General features: G+C 38.9%; 2 long non-coding RNA genes across 5 annotated transcripts in view; one reads left to right on the forward strand and one right to left on the reverse strand.

Annotated features, from left to right (window-relative positions):
• LOC124903718 (uncharacterized) overlaps positions 1–5,692 on the forward strand; it is a 109,513-nt gene extending 103,821 nt beyond the window's left edge. Inside the window, exon 2 of the long non-coding RNA XR_007065114.1 lies at positions 3,193–5,692. This is a non-coding gene — a long non-coding RNA (uncharacterized LOC124903718). The remainder of the gene's footprint in view (positions 1–3,192) is intronic.
• The window catches only part of LINC01572 (long intergenic non-protein coding RNA 1572), a 384,069-nt gene that overhangs the window by 248,865 nt on the left and 120,229 nt on the right, over positions 1–14,975 (reverse strand). For all 4 annotated transcript variants that reach the window (NR_126330.2, NR_159371.1, NR_159372.1 and 1 more), the window contains one exon: positions 10,812–10,845. This is a non-coding gene — a long non-coding RNA (long intergenic non-protein coding RNA 1572). The remainder of the gene's footprint in view (positions 1–10,811; positions 10,846–14,975) is intronic.

Raw genomic sequence — 14,975 nt, forward strand, 5'->3', positions numbered from 1 at the left:
GGCTGGAGTGCAGTGGCCTGATCTTGGCTCACTGCATCCTATGCCTCCCAAGTTCAAATGATTGTCATGCCTCAACCTCCCAAGTAGCTGGGACTACAGGTGGGCGCCACCACACCTGGCTAATTTTTGTATTTTTGGTGGAGACAGGGTTTTGCCATGTTGGCCAGGCTGTTCTTGAACTCCTGGCCTCAAGTGATCCACCCACCTCAGCCTCCGAAAGTGCTGGAATTACAGGCGTGAGCCACCACGCCCGGCCAATCAAGAATTTCATAATTGCTAAATCCAGTAGCCTTTCTTGGAACTCCTTGGCTTCTTTGAAGTTCCAGACCCTGTTAACTCTTTGCCTCTCTCGAAATTCTCTCCTTTCTTTGCTTTTATGTCTGCTTCATTTAGATACTTCACATCCGTTTTCCCGAGCTCCTCCTCCGCAGAGAAAGTCACTCAAAAACATTGTGTCCAAATATCTGTCTTCGGTACACTATTTTATGTGTGTGTGTGTGTGTGTGTGTGTGTGTGTGTGTGTGTGTGTGTATTTCCTCTTCAGGTCAACTACTATGAAATATCTATCTGTAATTCTGAGTACAGCTTATGGTAGGTATAAATAAAAATAAATACTAAATGAATGGGCACCAGTTCTAATTTCCCAAATTCCTGCTTATAATTTCTCCAGGGATTCCCCTTAGTCATCAACACATCAACACATAAAATGCCTGTACAGTAGAGGAAACAGTTTCTCTGAATCCTAGACTGGTCAAACCATATCTGGAACACTGAGATTCATTCGGCACCACATTTTCAGAGGCCATGACAAATCTGAGTGAATCTAAAGAAGGGAAACAGGATGGTAAATGATACAAAACTCAGGGTATAAGAGGAAATGTTGAAGTAACTTAGGATGTTGAGTCATCAGATGATTAAGAAAAGACATAGCAGTACTCAAGTATGTAAAGAGTACTTTCCGGTAGGGGGCAATGTTGGGTGGAAGGAGGAGGTTATGAGGTTATGGCACTGTTCAGTATTTTTTTTTTTTTTTTGAGATGGAGTTTTGCTCTTGTTGCCTAGCCTGGAGTGCAATGGCGCGATCTCAACTCACTGCAACATCCGCCTCCCAGGTTCAAGCGATTCTCCTGCCTCAGCCTCCTGAGTAGCTGGGGTTACAGGCATGCACCACTATGCCCGGCTAATTTTGTAGTTTTAGTTGAGATGGGTTTCTCCATGTTGGTCAGGCTGGACTCGAACTCCTGACCTCAGGTTATCCGCCCACCTCGGCCTCCCAAAGTGCTGGGATTACAGGCATGAGCCACTGCGCCTAGTCTAAACGTTTCAATACTCACAGATATCTGTGCAAGGTAGGCACACAGTTTTATCTACCTACCTTATGTTTGTGTGACACTATCACAAATTCAGGCTGTTAATGGCCCAACCTGATCTGTAGCAACATCCTGTGAATAAGTCTTATAGCCTCTGATCCATCCTATCCATTGTAACCATTTTGTCAGATCAAACTTCCTGACATAAAATTTCCCTTATCAAAAGTTAATGACAGCAGGGCACGGTGGCTCACGTCTGGAATCCCAGCTCTTTGGGAGGCTGAGGAAGGAGGACTGCTTGAGCCCATGAGTTCAAGACCAATGTGGGCAACACAAAGACAGTGAGACCTTGTAAAAAAAAAAAAAAAAAAAAAAAAAAGACTTTCACTGTTAACAAAAAACAAAACAACAAAATCCTCTAGAATTCTTTCCTAAGTCCCTAGTTTTATTTTTACCACTATGTCCCATAAATCCTTTTCTTCTTAAGTGCCTTGTACTTTTGGTATGTATATATTGCACCTAATATTGCTAAATGATCCCTTCTTTTTGTGGAGTATCTGTTCTTCAAAGTTTAGCTCAAGTAGCATCTCCTCCCTGGGCTTTGATCATTACAGAAGGAAGAGATCCCAACCCATTCTGAACATATGTGATGCTATCTAAATCACTACCTTAAAATTCTCTTCCCTGTTTGGTAGTCATATGTAGTATGTAATACTGCAAATATAACTTTCTACAACGATGAAACCGTTCTCTATCTGTGCGTCCAATATAACAGCCAGTAACCACAAGTGACTACTGAGCATGTAAAATGTGACCAGTGCCTACATATTAGACAGTGTGGTCTTGGAGGGCAATACATTAGGTTTCTGATGCATAGAATATTTACTGAGAAATAATTATGTTCTAGGCCCTGTTTAAACATTTTATACCTATCATTTCACTAATGCTTTTCTATTATCATTCTGTTTCTAAGATAAATAAACTGAGTCCAAGAAAGTTTAAATAACTTGCATCAAGTCCTAATTCTTTGGGATTAACAACGATGACAATCCACAGATTATTGCAGTAAGAATATTAGAAAATATGACAAGGAGCTCAGTAAATCATTAAACAGTATTCCTAAGATAGTTATTTTATCTTCTTTTGGTGTCTCTTACAACGTCTAGCACATCACTTTGTACGTAGTAACTATAACTGAATCAAATGATAATTTTACATGGCTTATAGTCTTCTACACTTGTACATAATGTTTTCTAAAATCAGAGTATAAATTGAATGTATAAAAATGAAGTCATAAAAATAAAATGTGTTATAGCCACATGATGGAATATTATTCAGCCATAAAAAAGAATGAAATATTGATTCATGCTACAACATGGATGAAACTAAAAAAAATGCTAAGTTAAAGAAGCCAGTCACAAAAGACCATACATTATAATTCCTCTTACATGAAATATTCAGAATAGACAAATTCATATAGACAGAAAGTAGATTAGAGGTTACCTAGGATTTGTAGGATTGGGGTAAAACAGAGAGTGATCACTAGAGGGTAAGGAGTGTTTTCCTGGGGTCATGAAAATGTTCTAAAATTGACTGTGGTGATGGTTGCAAAACTACGTAAAAACAATGTAAAAATTTAACTGTATATTTTAAATGGGTGAATTGTATGGCCTGTGAATTAAATCTCAATAATACTGTTTTTAAAAGGGGGGAATCAAAGTTTTATGTTTACAAAGGGTTCTACTCCTAAGAGCTAAATATAAATTATGGACTATCTAGGATACATCTTTACTTTTAGATATAATCTCTGACAAAAATATTTCGAATACACTTAACGGTAAAGTGAAATAAAATTGTGGTTTTCAAAATTGTTTTCTCATAGGTGGACAAAACAAATCTTTTTTGGAAACCAACGAAACAAAAATAATCTGGAGCTGTCTTGGTTGAAGCAGCGTGCGGGATTCAGACACCTCCCACTCAGACCCCTGCCCTTCCTTCAACATTGGCATCTAAAGAATCTCTCCAGCGTTTGGAGGAAATCAAGTTGGAAGTTAAGCAAGAAGCAACACAAAAAACTGAGTAACTACAAAGAAGTAAAAAGTAAAAACTCTGCAAGTTGAATTGTTAGCTGGCAGGCTACCATGTGATATTGGCTCAGAATTGTCTTGTGTTAGTAAAGATACAAACATTTGAATTCTATTTATGAACTTTGAATTCTGCTTCTGTAATTAGACTTTTTTTTTTTTTTTTGGACAGAGTCTCACTCTGTCGCTTAGGCTGGACTGCAGCGGAATGATCTCAGCTCACTGCAAACTCCGTCTCCCGGGTTCAAATGATTCTCCTGCCTCAGCCTCCCCAGTAGCTGTAGCTGGGATTACAGGTGTGGATCACCACGCGCAGCTGAATTTTTTTTTGTATTTTCAGTACAGACGGGGTTTCACCATGTTGGCCAGGCTGGTCTCAAACTTCTGACCTCAAATCATCCACTTGCCTTCGCTTCCCAATGTGCTGGGATTACAGGCATGAGCCAGTGTGCCCAGCCTGCATGTTTTTTGTTTGTTTGTTTGTTTGTTTGTTTTTTGAGATGGAGTATTGCTCTGTTGCTCAGGCTGGAGCGCGCGATCTCAGCTCACCGCAACCTCCGCCTTCCAGATTCAAGCAATTCTCCTGCCTCAGCTTCCCAAGTAGCTGGGACTGTTACAGGTGCATGCTGCCACGCCCAGCTAATTTTTTTGTATTTTAGTAGAGAAGGGGTTTCACCATGTTGCCCAGGCTGGTCGGGAACTCCTGAGCTCAGGCAATCCGCCTGCCTCGGCCTCCGAAAGTGCTGGGATTACAGGTGTGAGTCACTGCGCCACCGCATGTTTTTTTTTTTTTTTTTTTTAAAGAGAATTATTCTAAATTCAAGATCTACCTCTAATTTATGTGGTCTTTTTTTATTATGTACTTGGATTAGGAATTTTTGTATTTTTGTTTGTACAACAAAAAATATGTAAACATCCCCAAATAAAAAAATAGGTGCCCTAGATCTGTGACACTGGAAGTGCTGTTTTCCTGGCTCAATATCCCTTATTTGGCTAAGAAAAAAAGGGCAGTTTCCAACTCATTTGTACTTACATAGCCACAGACTCTTCTACTTGTATGGCTTATTAACATCAAAAATTTATATTCTATTATTATATGTGATATATTACACTATACTACATTATAATTATCCCCAAAACAAAACTGATCATTTATTTCTCTCAAACATATTTTTAATATATTTAAGGGTAAAGTAGAATAAAACTGTGGTTTTCAGAATTATTTTTTCAGAGGCAGACAAAATAAATCTTTTTTAGAAATCCAAAAAAGCAAAACTTTCCCAACTTCCCTATTTCAACTTAACTTTGAATCCCCAGGCTGATATCTCTTTAAACTCAAATTAGTAGCCTCTCTTTATAGTCGTAGCTGATAATGAAGGCATAATCTTTCCCCTTTAGACATGAATTCTGGAGCTCCTCCTCCTCCCTGCTAGCTCTTTCCACAGCTACCAACTTTTCTTGAGTCAAGTCTATTTCTCACACTTTTTCTATGTACTGCTATTAGAATAGTCCTCAAGTGCTCTATGATGTTATTTCCTTACTCAAAAACTTAGAATTGTTCTCTATAGTTCAACTTCCTCTCCATCTCTGTGTGATGGTTAATTTTGCGTCAACCTGATTGGGCCACAGGGTGCCCAGATACTTGGTCAAACATTATTCTGTTTTTGTGAAGGTGTTTTTTGGATGAGATTAACATTTAAATTGGTAGACTAGACAAAGCAGATAATCTAGGATTGGCATCCAATCATTTCAAGGCCTGAATAGAACAAAAGGCTGATCTTCCTCAGAATAAGTGAAAATTATCCTGCCTGATGGGCCTCAAACTATACCATTTGCTCTTCCTGGTTCTATAGCAGCTTCCAGCCTTTGGACTTGAAAGCGGATACAAGCTCTACAGATTTTGGACTAGCCAGTGTCCATAATCCCATGATAGGTATCTCCTATTAGTTCTGTTTTTCTGAAGATCACTGACTAATATACTGTTTACCCAACTCTGTAGTACCATTTCATAAGATTTTTTTTTTTTTTTTTGACAGTGTCTTGCTCTATCACCCAGGCTGGAGTGGAATGGTGCAAACAAAGTTCACTGCACCCTCAACCTCCTGGGCTCAAGTGATCCTCCTACCTCAGCCTCCTGAGTAGCTGGAACCACAAGTATGCGCCACCATGCCTTGCTAGTTTTTTAAATGTTTGTAGAGAAAAAGTCTAACCATGTTGCCCAGGCTCCCAGATCGTTTATTAGACCTCAAAATATTCTCTACTACAATGAAATAAATCCATTTGTCAACTTCTACCCAATTTGCATAATTCCACTGAAATGCTTTTATTAAATAACTGATATGCATTTGTACCACCTACATTTGCCTCTCACATATATCTCTCCAGCTAGGATGTTAACTACTTTGACAACAGGAGCCTCTATTTTCTTTACTTCTTTCCACAGTGATAACAGAGATTAACAATGTGAAGTATAGTTTAAAGACTATTAAATATATATATATACTTAAATCATAAAAAGTCAGGAAACAACAAATGCTGGAGAGGATGCAGAGAAATAGGAATGTTTTTACACTGTTGGTGGGGCTGTAAACTAGTTCAACCATTGTGGAAGACAGTGTGGTGATTCCTCAAGGATCTAGAACTAGAAATACCATTTGACCCAGCCATCCCATTACTGAGTATATACCCAAAGGATTATAAATCATGCTGCTATAAAGACACATGCACTTGTGTGTTTATTGCAGCACTATTCACAATTGCAAAGACTTGGAACCAACCCAAATGTCCAACAATGGTAGACTGGATTAAGAAAATGTGGCTCATATACACCATGGAATACTATGCAGCCATAAAAATGATGAGTTCATGTCCTTTGTAGGGACATGGATGAAGCTGGAAACCATCATTCTCAGCAAACTATCACAAGGACAAAAAACCAAACACCGCATGTTCTCACTCACAGGTGGGAATTGAACAATGAGAACACTTGGACACAGGAAGGGAAACATCACATACCGGGGCCTGTCGTGGGTGGGGGAAGTGGGGAGGGATAGCATTAGGAGACATATCTAATGTAAATGACGAGTTAATTGGTGCAGCACACCAACATGGCGCATGTATATATATGTAACAAACCTGCACGTTGTGCACATGTACCCTAGAACTTAAAGTGTAATAAAAAATAAAAAAATAAAAAGACTATTAAATATATATATACATACTTTATACCTATCTATACCTTAAATAGATATATAATGTATGTAAATTTATATATCTAATTTACCTCTTGCCTACAGTCTGGTACATGTTTTAATGTTAATTTTTATTTGGTTGGTTTTGGTTTTGCTTAAAAGAATAACATTTTGGGTTAAAATTTATTTGCCATTTTAAAGTATTCTCCTTCCACTTTCATTTTGCTGTTAGGACACAGAACAAAGTTATAGACAAACTTTAGACTATATAATTTAAAAGTACAATTGAAAGAATGTTTTAATGTTGGGATGAAGTGCATACTTTACTGTATATTTTTCAAACTCAGTTATATTGCTTTGCTAAAAGTAAATAATATCACCAGGATACCATCTGGTAAAAATCTCTCTGTGGATTAACCCACAAAAGGAGGTGAATGAATTTTTATATATTGCATAGTTGTGGTTGCAAAACTGCAGTAAAAATATGTTTTCAATGCACTGGTGTAAGTGAGACTTCAGAATTCAGCTACCTCTTCTGATTTGATCCAAAAGGCTTGGAATATTTAAGACCATATCTCATCAACATGGAAAAGGAGGAGTGTTTTATTTTCTAGCATTCCTATGACTTGGAAGAAAAAAAATCTAGGAAATTGAAGTCCATGAACTGGAAAATATGAATTTGGTCTTTTAGAAAGCATTCATTTAAAAAATAATGGGCAGTTACTTAATAATAGGACATAGCATGTCAGAGAAGTCTGAGGCCATATAAGACAGTTGGATAAGATTTGACAATGTCATTGTGTGCAGCCCATCCAATGCAAAATGGTCAAATCAGTTTTTACCTTTTTTTTTTTTTTTTACTTCAAATAATACGCTATCCAAGTCTTGATCTAGTCCAATGACTAGAGGAATAGAAATTCTCCCCACCTCTCTCGAGATTCCATTCCAGAGACTAATAGATTTCACTGTCAGAAAACATTTCCCAGATTCAGTCTTAAATTTCTGTTACTTAATTTCATCCCAATACTTGACTATAAACTCTCTTATCCTACCTTTAAAAATATCTTGACTTCCATAATGTTTGTATCTTACAAATATTTGTAAAATGTTATCATAACTATACTCAGAGATGAGCAAAAAATATACATTTTGTTATTTTAATATTTTAAGGATTAAAGTCTGAAGATCATTATACATTTATTTTCTAGTCTGAACACTACTTGATTTGCTTATTTGGGGCATGTACATGCCCCAAACTTGTATTCTCTTTGTGATCTCAGCAGTACCATTTAAATAACTTTTATCTTTCAGCCACATGATGTGAAGCTTTTGCATATACAGACTAAAATCTCATTGACTGATTTTACTGCCACATTGCATTACAAGACCTTATATAATTTGCTACCACTATCATCTCAAAGTCTCTTGGTAATACTGCTTTCCAAGTACTGTATATCCTGCCAGTTGAATGGCTGTGTTTCTGATCATTTTTCCCCAGATGTATTAGCTACATTTTTCCAGGTTGAATCACATTTCATTTCCTGCCCATATTTCTAACCACTTTAGGTCCCTTTTATCTGCCCTCACTGGTTTTGCCAACACCATCCAATTTAGCATCATCTGTAAATTTAATTAACATGATGTGTATCCTCTCTTATAAATCACTAATGAAGTTTCTCTACAATGATTTGTTTATTTTAAAAACTCTAATGCTGCTTAATGTTTATAATCTTGCTTATAATGTTTATAATCTTAAGAAGGCACCACTTTTTTGCCACTAAATATTTGTTTTATTATTTTAGGAGTGGTTCATGATAGACTAACAACAGAATCATGTTCAGGGTCACTGCTATCCTTTTTTGAATATTAGTGCTAAATTACTTTTATGATTGCTTCTGTACATAACAAAGCTTTAACTGACAATTTTCTACCCTTCTGTGTTTTTTCATTCTATTAATAACATCACAGAAGAACAACATTATGATGTTATTCTCATGTGTTATTCTCACGTCCATGAGGTAAAATGGTCAAAGATCTCATATTCCAAATTCTGTTGTGCAGTGAGTTTTTTAAATTTTAGATTCCAATTTACTGTGACAACAGTTTGTTATATTAAATGAGTAAAGATTAATTTAGAATGTTTGTATTTTAAGTATTTTGGAATTGGCAAGTTGAACCAAGATCAATATGGTTCATATGAACTGAACAAGAGCTATTTTGTTCCTCTTTTATAACTGTGATTTCTTTTGAATTTATTGGTTATTTAAAATTCTTCTGGGGTATTAAAACCTACTTTTAATTTCATTTTTATAAGGAAATACATTAGACCTCCAAAAGTATGTTTTGAAACATAATACTAGAAACAACATATATGTATCCACCACCTAGGTTAGGAAAACACCACCACCACCACCACCACCACCACCACCACACCACCACTACCAGTACCTTATCAGCTATGGGATACATTTTTCCAATTGCTTACCTCTTCTCTCCCTTAGGAGCATCTGCTGCTATTAACTTTATAAAAATAATTTACTTTGTTTTGTTTACATATCTATATATGTATCCCTATAGTTAAGATGCATTTTTAAAAAATTGAATATCTCAGACATTTCAGTCATCAATTTCCATCTTATACTAATTTACTTTTTGTAAGTATTTGTCTTTTCCTACAGGAATATCTTGCCATATGTCTTCAATAATCTTGGAAGAAAGCATACATTCTTTTTTCTTCAATTTTTTATTTACCTAAATCCTAGTGTTAGCTTTACATACCACAAACTTTTCTTTTTCCTATTAATCCATCCTCTTAACTTACATATTTTGGGACAGTTTCTTGTACTCATTTACTAGTGTATACATATTTATTAATTGCTTATTATGGCCCAATTATGGCATATAGATCTGATTTTACATACTTAGTAGAAGTAACTTCTTTTTTCAGCCAATTCTTATATCTCATTATATTTGTTAAGAAATTAGAAAATTCTTGTGGGTGTCTATGATGTATATATGCATGCATACATACATACATACATATATATACATACCTATGATGTATGTATATATATGTCATAGGTACTCATGGTTTTTATCCATGGTTCCTGTCTCATAACTCTCATATATATGTATATACATATATATCTCATATACATATATGAGAGTTATGAGTACGTATATATACATACCTATGATGTATATATGTATACTTCAAGAATAGCAAGGAGTAACTTGCTTTTTCAGCTAATTCTTATATCTCATTATTTCAAATTTTATATAATAATAATTTCTAATTTTATCTAATAATAATTTCTATTATTAGAAATTATTTCTAAGAAATTAGAAAATTCTTGTGGGTACCTATGACGTATATATACATACATACATACGTATATATACATACCTATGACATGTGTATATATACGTCATAGGTACCCATGGTTTTCATCCATGGTTCCTGGCTCATAACTTGCATAGCTCTTGTTAGTCTTTCATTATAATGTTGGGGCACTTTAGGCTTCAGGAGCAGGCTTCAGGAGCAAGCCTCAGGAAAGAGAATCTCTCTCTCTGACCTCCTGAACTCCTTTACCTGCTCAAGGCAGAACTCTGATCTGACTGTGGGTCAAAAGACCCTCATTCCAGAGAAGGTTCTGCCCCATACTCTGGAGGAAGAAATGCTGCACAGAGAGGCCAAGAAGAATCCAAACAGGCATTGCTGGGTTTCCCCATTCAGCCTATTAATATGAGATTGTACCCTTTTTGTTCAACCACATTTCATGCCTATGATTCTCCATAAAAACCCAAGAAGTACTATCACATTTGGGATTAAGGAAAACAAAACTAAACCAAGAAGACTGGGTTCAAAGAGCTTCCAGATAACTAAACACGTGGAGTTTCCTAGATTATGGCATGCCCAGAGAGTGCATGGAAGTTCCGAGCACTTTCCCCCATATCCTGCCCTGCACATCGCTTCATGTGTGTTGTAATATCTGTTACAATAAACAATAAACTAAAATAAGCATTTCCCTGGGTTCTGTGAGTTGCTCAGCCAGAAGCTCCAGAGGCTTGGACTTGCCACTGGTGTGAGGAGAGGGCTCAGTTTTGGGGACTGAACCCTCAATCCATGGGGTCTGATGCTATCTGTAGGTAGATCATGCTGGAATTTAATTAGCAGACATTCAGGTGGTGTCTGCCACTTGGTGTGTGGGAAAAAATTCTCTTACCTTTGGTTGCAGAAAGCTTCTCTGTTGATGATTGCTGTGGTGGTATGAAAGCAGAGGAAAAACATGCTTAGAGAGTTTTCCCCAAACAGTACCTAAATATAAGACCTATATTTATTCTCTCATAAATTTAAACTTCTATTATTATTTATTTATTTATTTATTGAGATAGAGTCTCTCTCTGTCACCCGGCTGGATGCAGTGGCATGATCTCGGCTCACTGCAACCTCCACCTCCTGGGTTCAAGCAATTCTTCTGCCTCAGCCTCCCATGTAGCTGGGGCTACAGGCACGCACCACCGCACCCAGCTAATTTTTGTATTTTTGGTAGAGACGGGGCTTCACCATGTTGGCCAGGATGGTCTCGATCTCTTGACCATGTGATCTGCCCCCCTTCGCCTTCCAAAGTGCTGGGATTACAGGTGTGAGCCAACATGCCCAGTCTAAACTTCTATTTTTAAATATCAAATTATTCCTATCATAATTTTTTATTCCATTTTAATTTCCACTTCTCATGTCCATATCCATAACAACTTTAACATATTTCCATTTATTAAAAAAAACTCAACTTTCATCCTTATATAGCACTGATATCACACAGTAAAAAGCTGGTAAATCGAGGGCTTTTTCATATTTTACCAGTTATCTTGTTCTTACTTTAAAAATTACACTCAATTATTTAGAGAAAGATGTTCATCTCCATGTGGTTTATGATAGAAACAAAGGGAAACAATCAAAATATCTAATAACTGGAGATCTAGCTAAATAAAATACAGTACAATCCTACAATAGAATATTAGGAACCTAATTAAAATTGGCGATTACCAATTTTAGCCTATTAATGAGAATCTCTTCACCTAGTAATATCTGAGGTATAAAAGCAAGTGTCCCAGGGTGGCCCACGACACTTGAGGGAAAAATATGGGGTTACAAAAGCCAAGTCATTACATCTCAAGAGGGATAATTCTGCGGCACCATTCACTCCTCAGAGCTCCCTGGGGGATCAAGCTGAGGTTAGGCTTTTGAAACTTCATCTTTGCCTAGCTTCTATCCTTGCTCTTTTTCCTTCTTTTCTCATTTTCTTTTGAGAGCACTCAATAAATCACTGCACAAGAATCTCTTTCTTGAGTTCTGCTTCTAAGGGGACCCACTGACCCAAAGAATCAGTGCACAGAAGTGATCCTAGAAAGCAGGCTCCAAGGCTGAGATTCTGGATCACTCACTGACTGGCTGGCTGTCAATGAGGACCCCAGAATTAGTGGTGTTTTTGGCATTCTGTAGCAGTAATGCAACTGCTAAAACTTGAAAAAGGATGGAATAGATGTAGAAAATGCACTGGCTTGTGCCATACTTCCAGATTTAAGAGGAATGAGGAAAGTGGTAAGTATGTAAGTATTGACATAAGAGTTGAAAATAAATTACTTAGGCAGATAGTGAGGGTATATTAGTCCTCGGTAAGGTTTTCCTTTTAATGAAAAGCAACCCCAAAATAATTTTCTTTTCTAACAAAGAGCAACCTGTAAAATTAAGCTGCAGACATAAACAAGCAAGCAGAGTGAACGCAAGCTGTTGTGCCTACAGGAATATACTACCTGGGACGAGACATGTTCAATATGGTGGCTCCATCTTCTCTTTTTGCCAGCCATGTGTATAGTAAGAAGCAGGCAAGATGGAGCTGGCCAAGTGAAAAGTCCATTTGCATAAGATTAGGGTGGGGCAACCAGCCTTCCCCACTGCTATGTAAACATCATACCTAGTCAAACCCATTTGTGAGCCCTACCTAAATGAGACACTGCCTCCTCAAGCCTGCCTATAAAATCTGCTGCAGTCCTCCACTTTACCTTTTTCAGATGCCTCTCTCTTGCAAGAGAGAGTGAGCTGCTATCCTCCCTCCTTTCTTCTGCCTATTTAACTTTCTATTCCTTAACCCACCCACGTGTCCTTGTCCTTAATCCTCTTGGTGTGAGACAACGAACCCCAGGTATTTACCCCAGACAACAATGCCATTTCAGTATCACAGAATTGAATGGCTGTTATTAAGCACTCGTGATACTATGAAGAAAGGAAAGGATGATTAATCATCAATTCAAAACAATGTGTGAAATTCTTTTTTTTTTTTTTTTTTGAGATGGAGTCTTACTCTGTTGCCCAGGCTGGAGTGCAGTGGCACGATCTCAGCTCACTGAAAGCTCTGCTTCCCGGGTTCACACCATTCTCTTGCCTCAGACTCCCGAGTAGCTGGGACTACAGGCGCCCACTACCATGCCCAGCTAATTTTTTGTATTTTTAGTAGAGACTGGGTTTCACTATGTTAGTCAGGATGGTCTTGATCTCCTGACCTCATGATCTACCTGTAGAGCTGGGATTACAGGCGTGAGCCACTGCGCCCAGCCAATGATGTGTGAAATTCTGAGATCTTCATCTCTAAGTTGTTTCATAGTAAATTATAATAAAAAATAAAATAAAATGCCTCAAAAGAGACATAGGAGGATGTGATAATAAAGAGTCTTAACCCAAGCCTGTCTCACAGCAAGTTCACTGTGTTTAGAGACTAACCCAGAGATTATTTTCCCTGTTCCTAAACAAAAACTCAGAATATTTCTGTGGAGTATTAAAAAAAAAAAAGCGGGGGGTGGCCGGCAAGATGGCTGAACAGGAATAGCTCCGGTCTGCAGCTCCCAGGGAGATCAATGTAGAAGGCGGGTGATGTCTGCATTTCCAACTGAGGTACCTGGCTCATCTCACTGGGACTGGTTAGACAGTGGGTGCAGCCCATGGAGGGCGAGCGGAAGCAGGGTGGGGTGTCGCCTCACTTGGGAAGTGCAAGGGGTTGGGGAACTCCCTCCCCTAGCCAAGGGAAGCTGTGAGGGACTGTGCTGTGAGGAAGAGTGCACTCTGGCCCAGATACTATGCTTTTCCCACAGTCTTCGCAACTCGCAGAGCAGGAGATTCCCTTGGGTACCTACACAACCAGGGCCCTGGGTTTCAAGCACAAAACTGGTCGACCATTTGGGCAGACACCGAGCTAGCTGCAGGAGTTTTTTTTCACGCCCCAGTGGTGACTGGAACGCCCGTGAGACAGAACTGTTCACTCCCATGGAAAGGGGGCTGAAGCCAGGGAGCCAAGTGGTCTAGCTCAGTGGATCCGACCCCGATGGAGCCCAGCAAGCTAAGATCCACTGGCTTGAAATTCTCACTGGCAGTACAGCAGTCTGAAGTCAACCTGGGACACTCAAGCTTGGTGGGGGGAGGGGCGACCACCATTTCTGAGGCTTGAGTAGCCGGTTTTCCCTTCACACTGTAAACAATGCCCCGGGAAGTTTGGACTGGGCAGAGCCCACCAGCACCACAAAGCCACCGTAGCCAGACTGCATCTCTAGATTCCTCCTCTCTGGGCAGGGCATCTCTGAAAGAAAGGCAGCAGCCCCAGTCAGGGGCTTATAGATAAAACTCCCATATCCCTGGGACAGAGCACCTGGGGGAAGGGGTGGTTGTGGGCACAGCTTCAGCAGACTTAAACATTCCTGCCTGCCACTGAAGAGAGCAGCAGACCTCCCAGGACAATGCTCGAGTTCTGCTAAGGGACAGACTGTCTCCTAAAGTGGGTCCCTGACCCCTGTGCCTCCTGACTGAGAGACACCTCCTAGCAGGGGTCAACGGACACTTCATACAGGAGACCTCTGGCTAGCATCTAGCGGGTGCCCCTCTGGGAGGAAACTTCCAGAGGAACGAACAGGCAGCAATCTTTGCTGTTCTGCAGCCTCCACTGGTGATACCCACGCAAAAAGGGTCTAGAGTGGACCTCCAGTAAACACCAGCAGACCTGCAGCAGAGGGGCCTGACTGTTAGAAGGAAAACTAACAAACAGAAAGGAACAGCATCAACATTGACAAAAAGGACATCCACACAGACACCTCACCTGAAGGTCACCAACATCAAAGATCAAAGGTAGATAAATCCAGGAAGATGAGGAAAAACCAGCATAAAAAAGCCAAAAATTCCCAAAACCAGAACACCTCCTCTCCTCCAAAAGATCACAGCTCCTCGCCAGCAAGGGAACAAAACTGGACGGAGAACGAGTTTGAGGAATTGACAGAAGATGGAGAACGAGTCTGAGGAATTGACAGAAGTAGGTTTCAGGAGGTGGGTAATAACAAACTCCTCTGAG

The sequence above is a fragment of the Homo sapiens genome, chromosome 16 (genome assembly GCF_000001405.40).
Source record: "Homo sapiens chromosome 16, GRCh38.p14 Primary Assembly".
In the NCBI taxonomy this organism is placed as follows: Eukaryota; Metazoa; Chordata; class Mammalia; order Primates; family Hominidae; genus Homo; species Homo sapiens.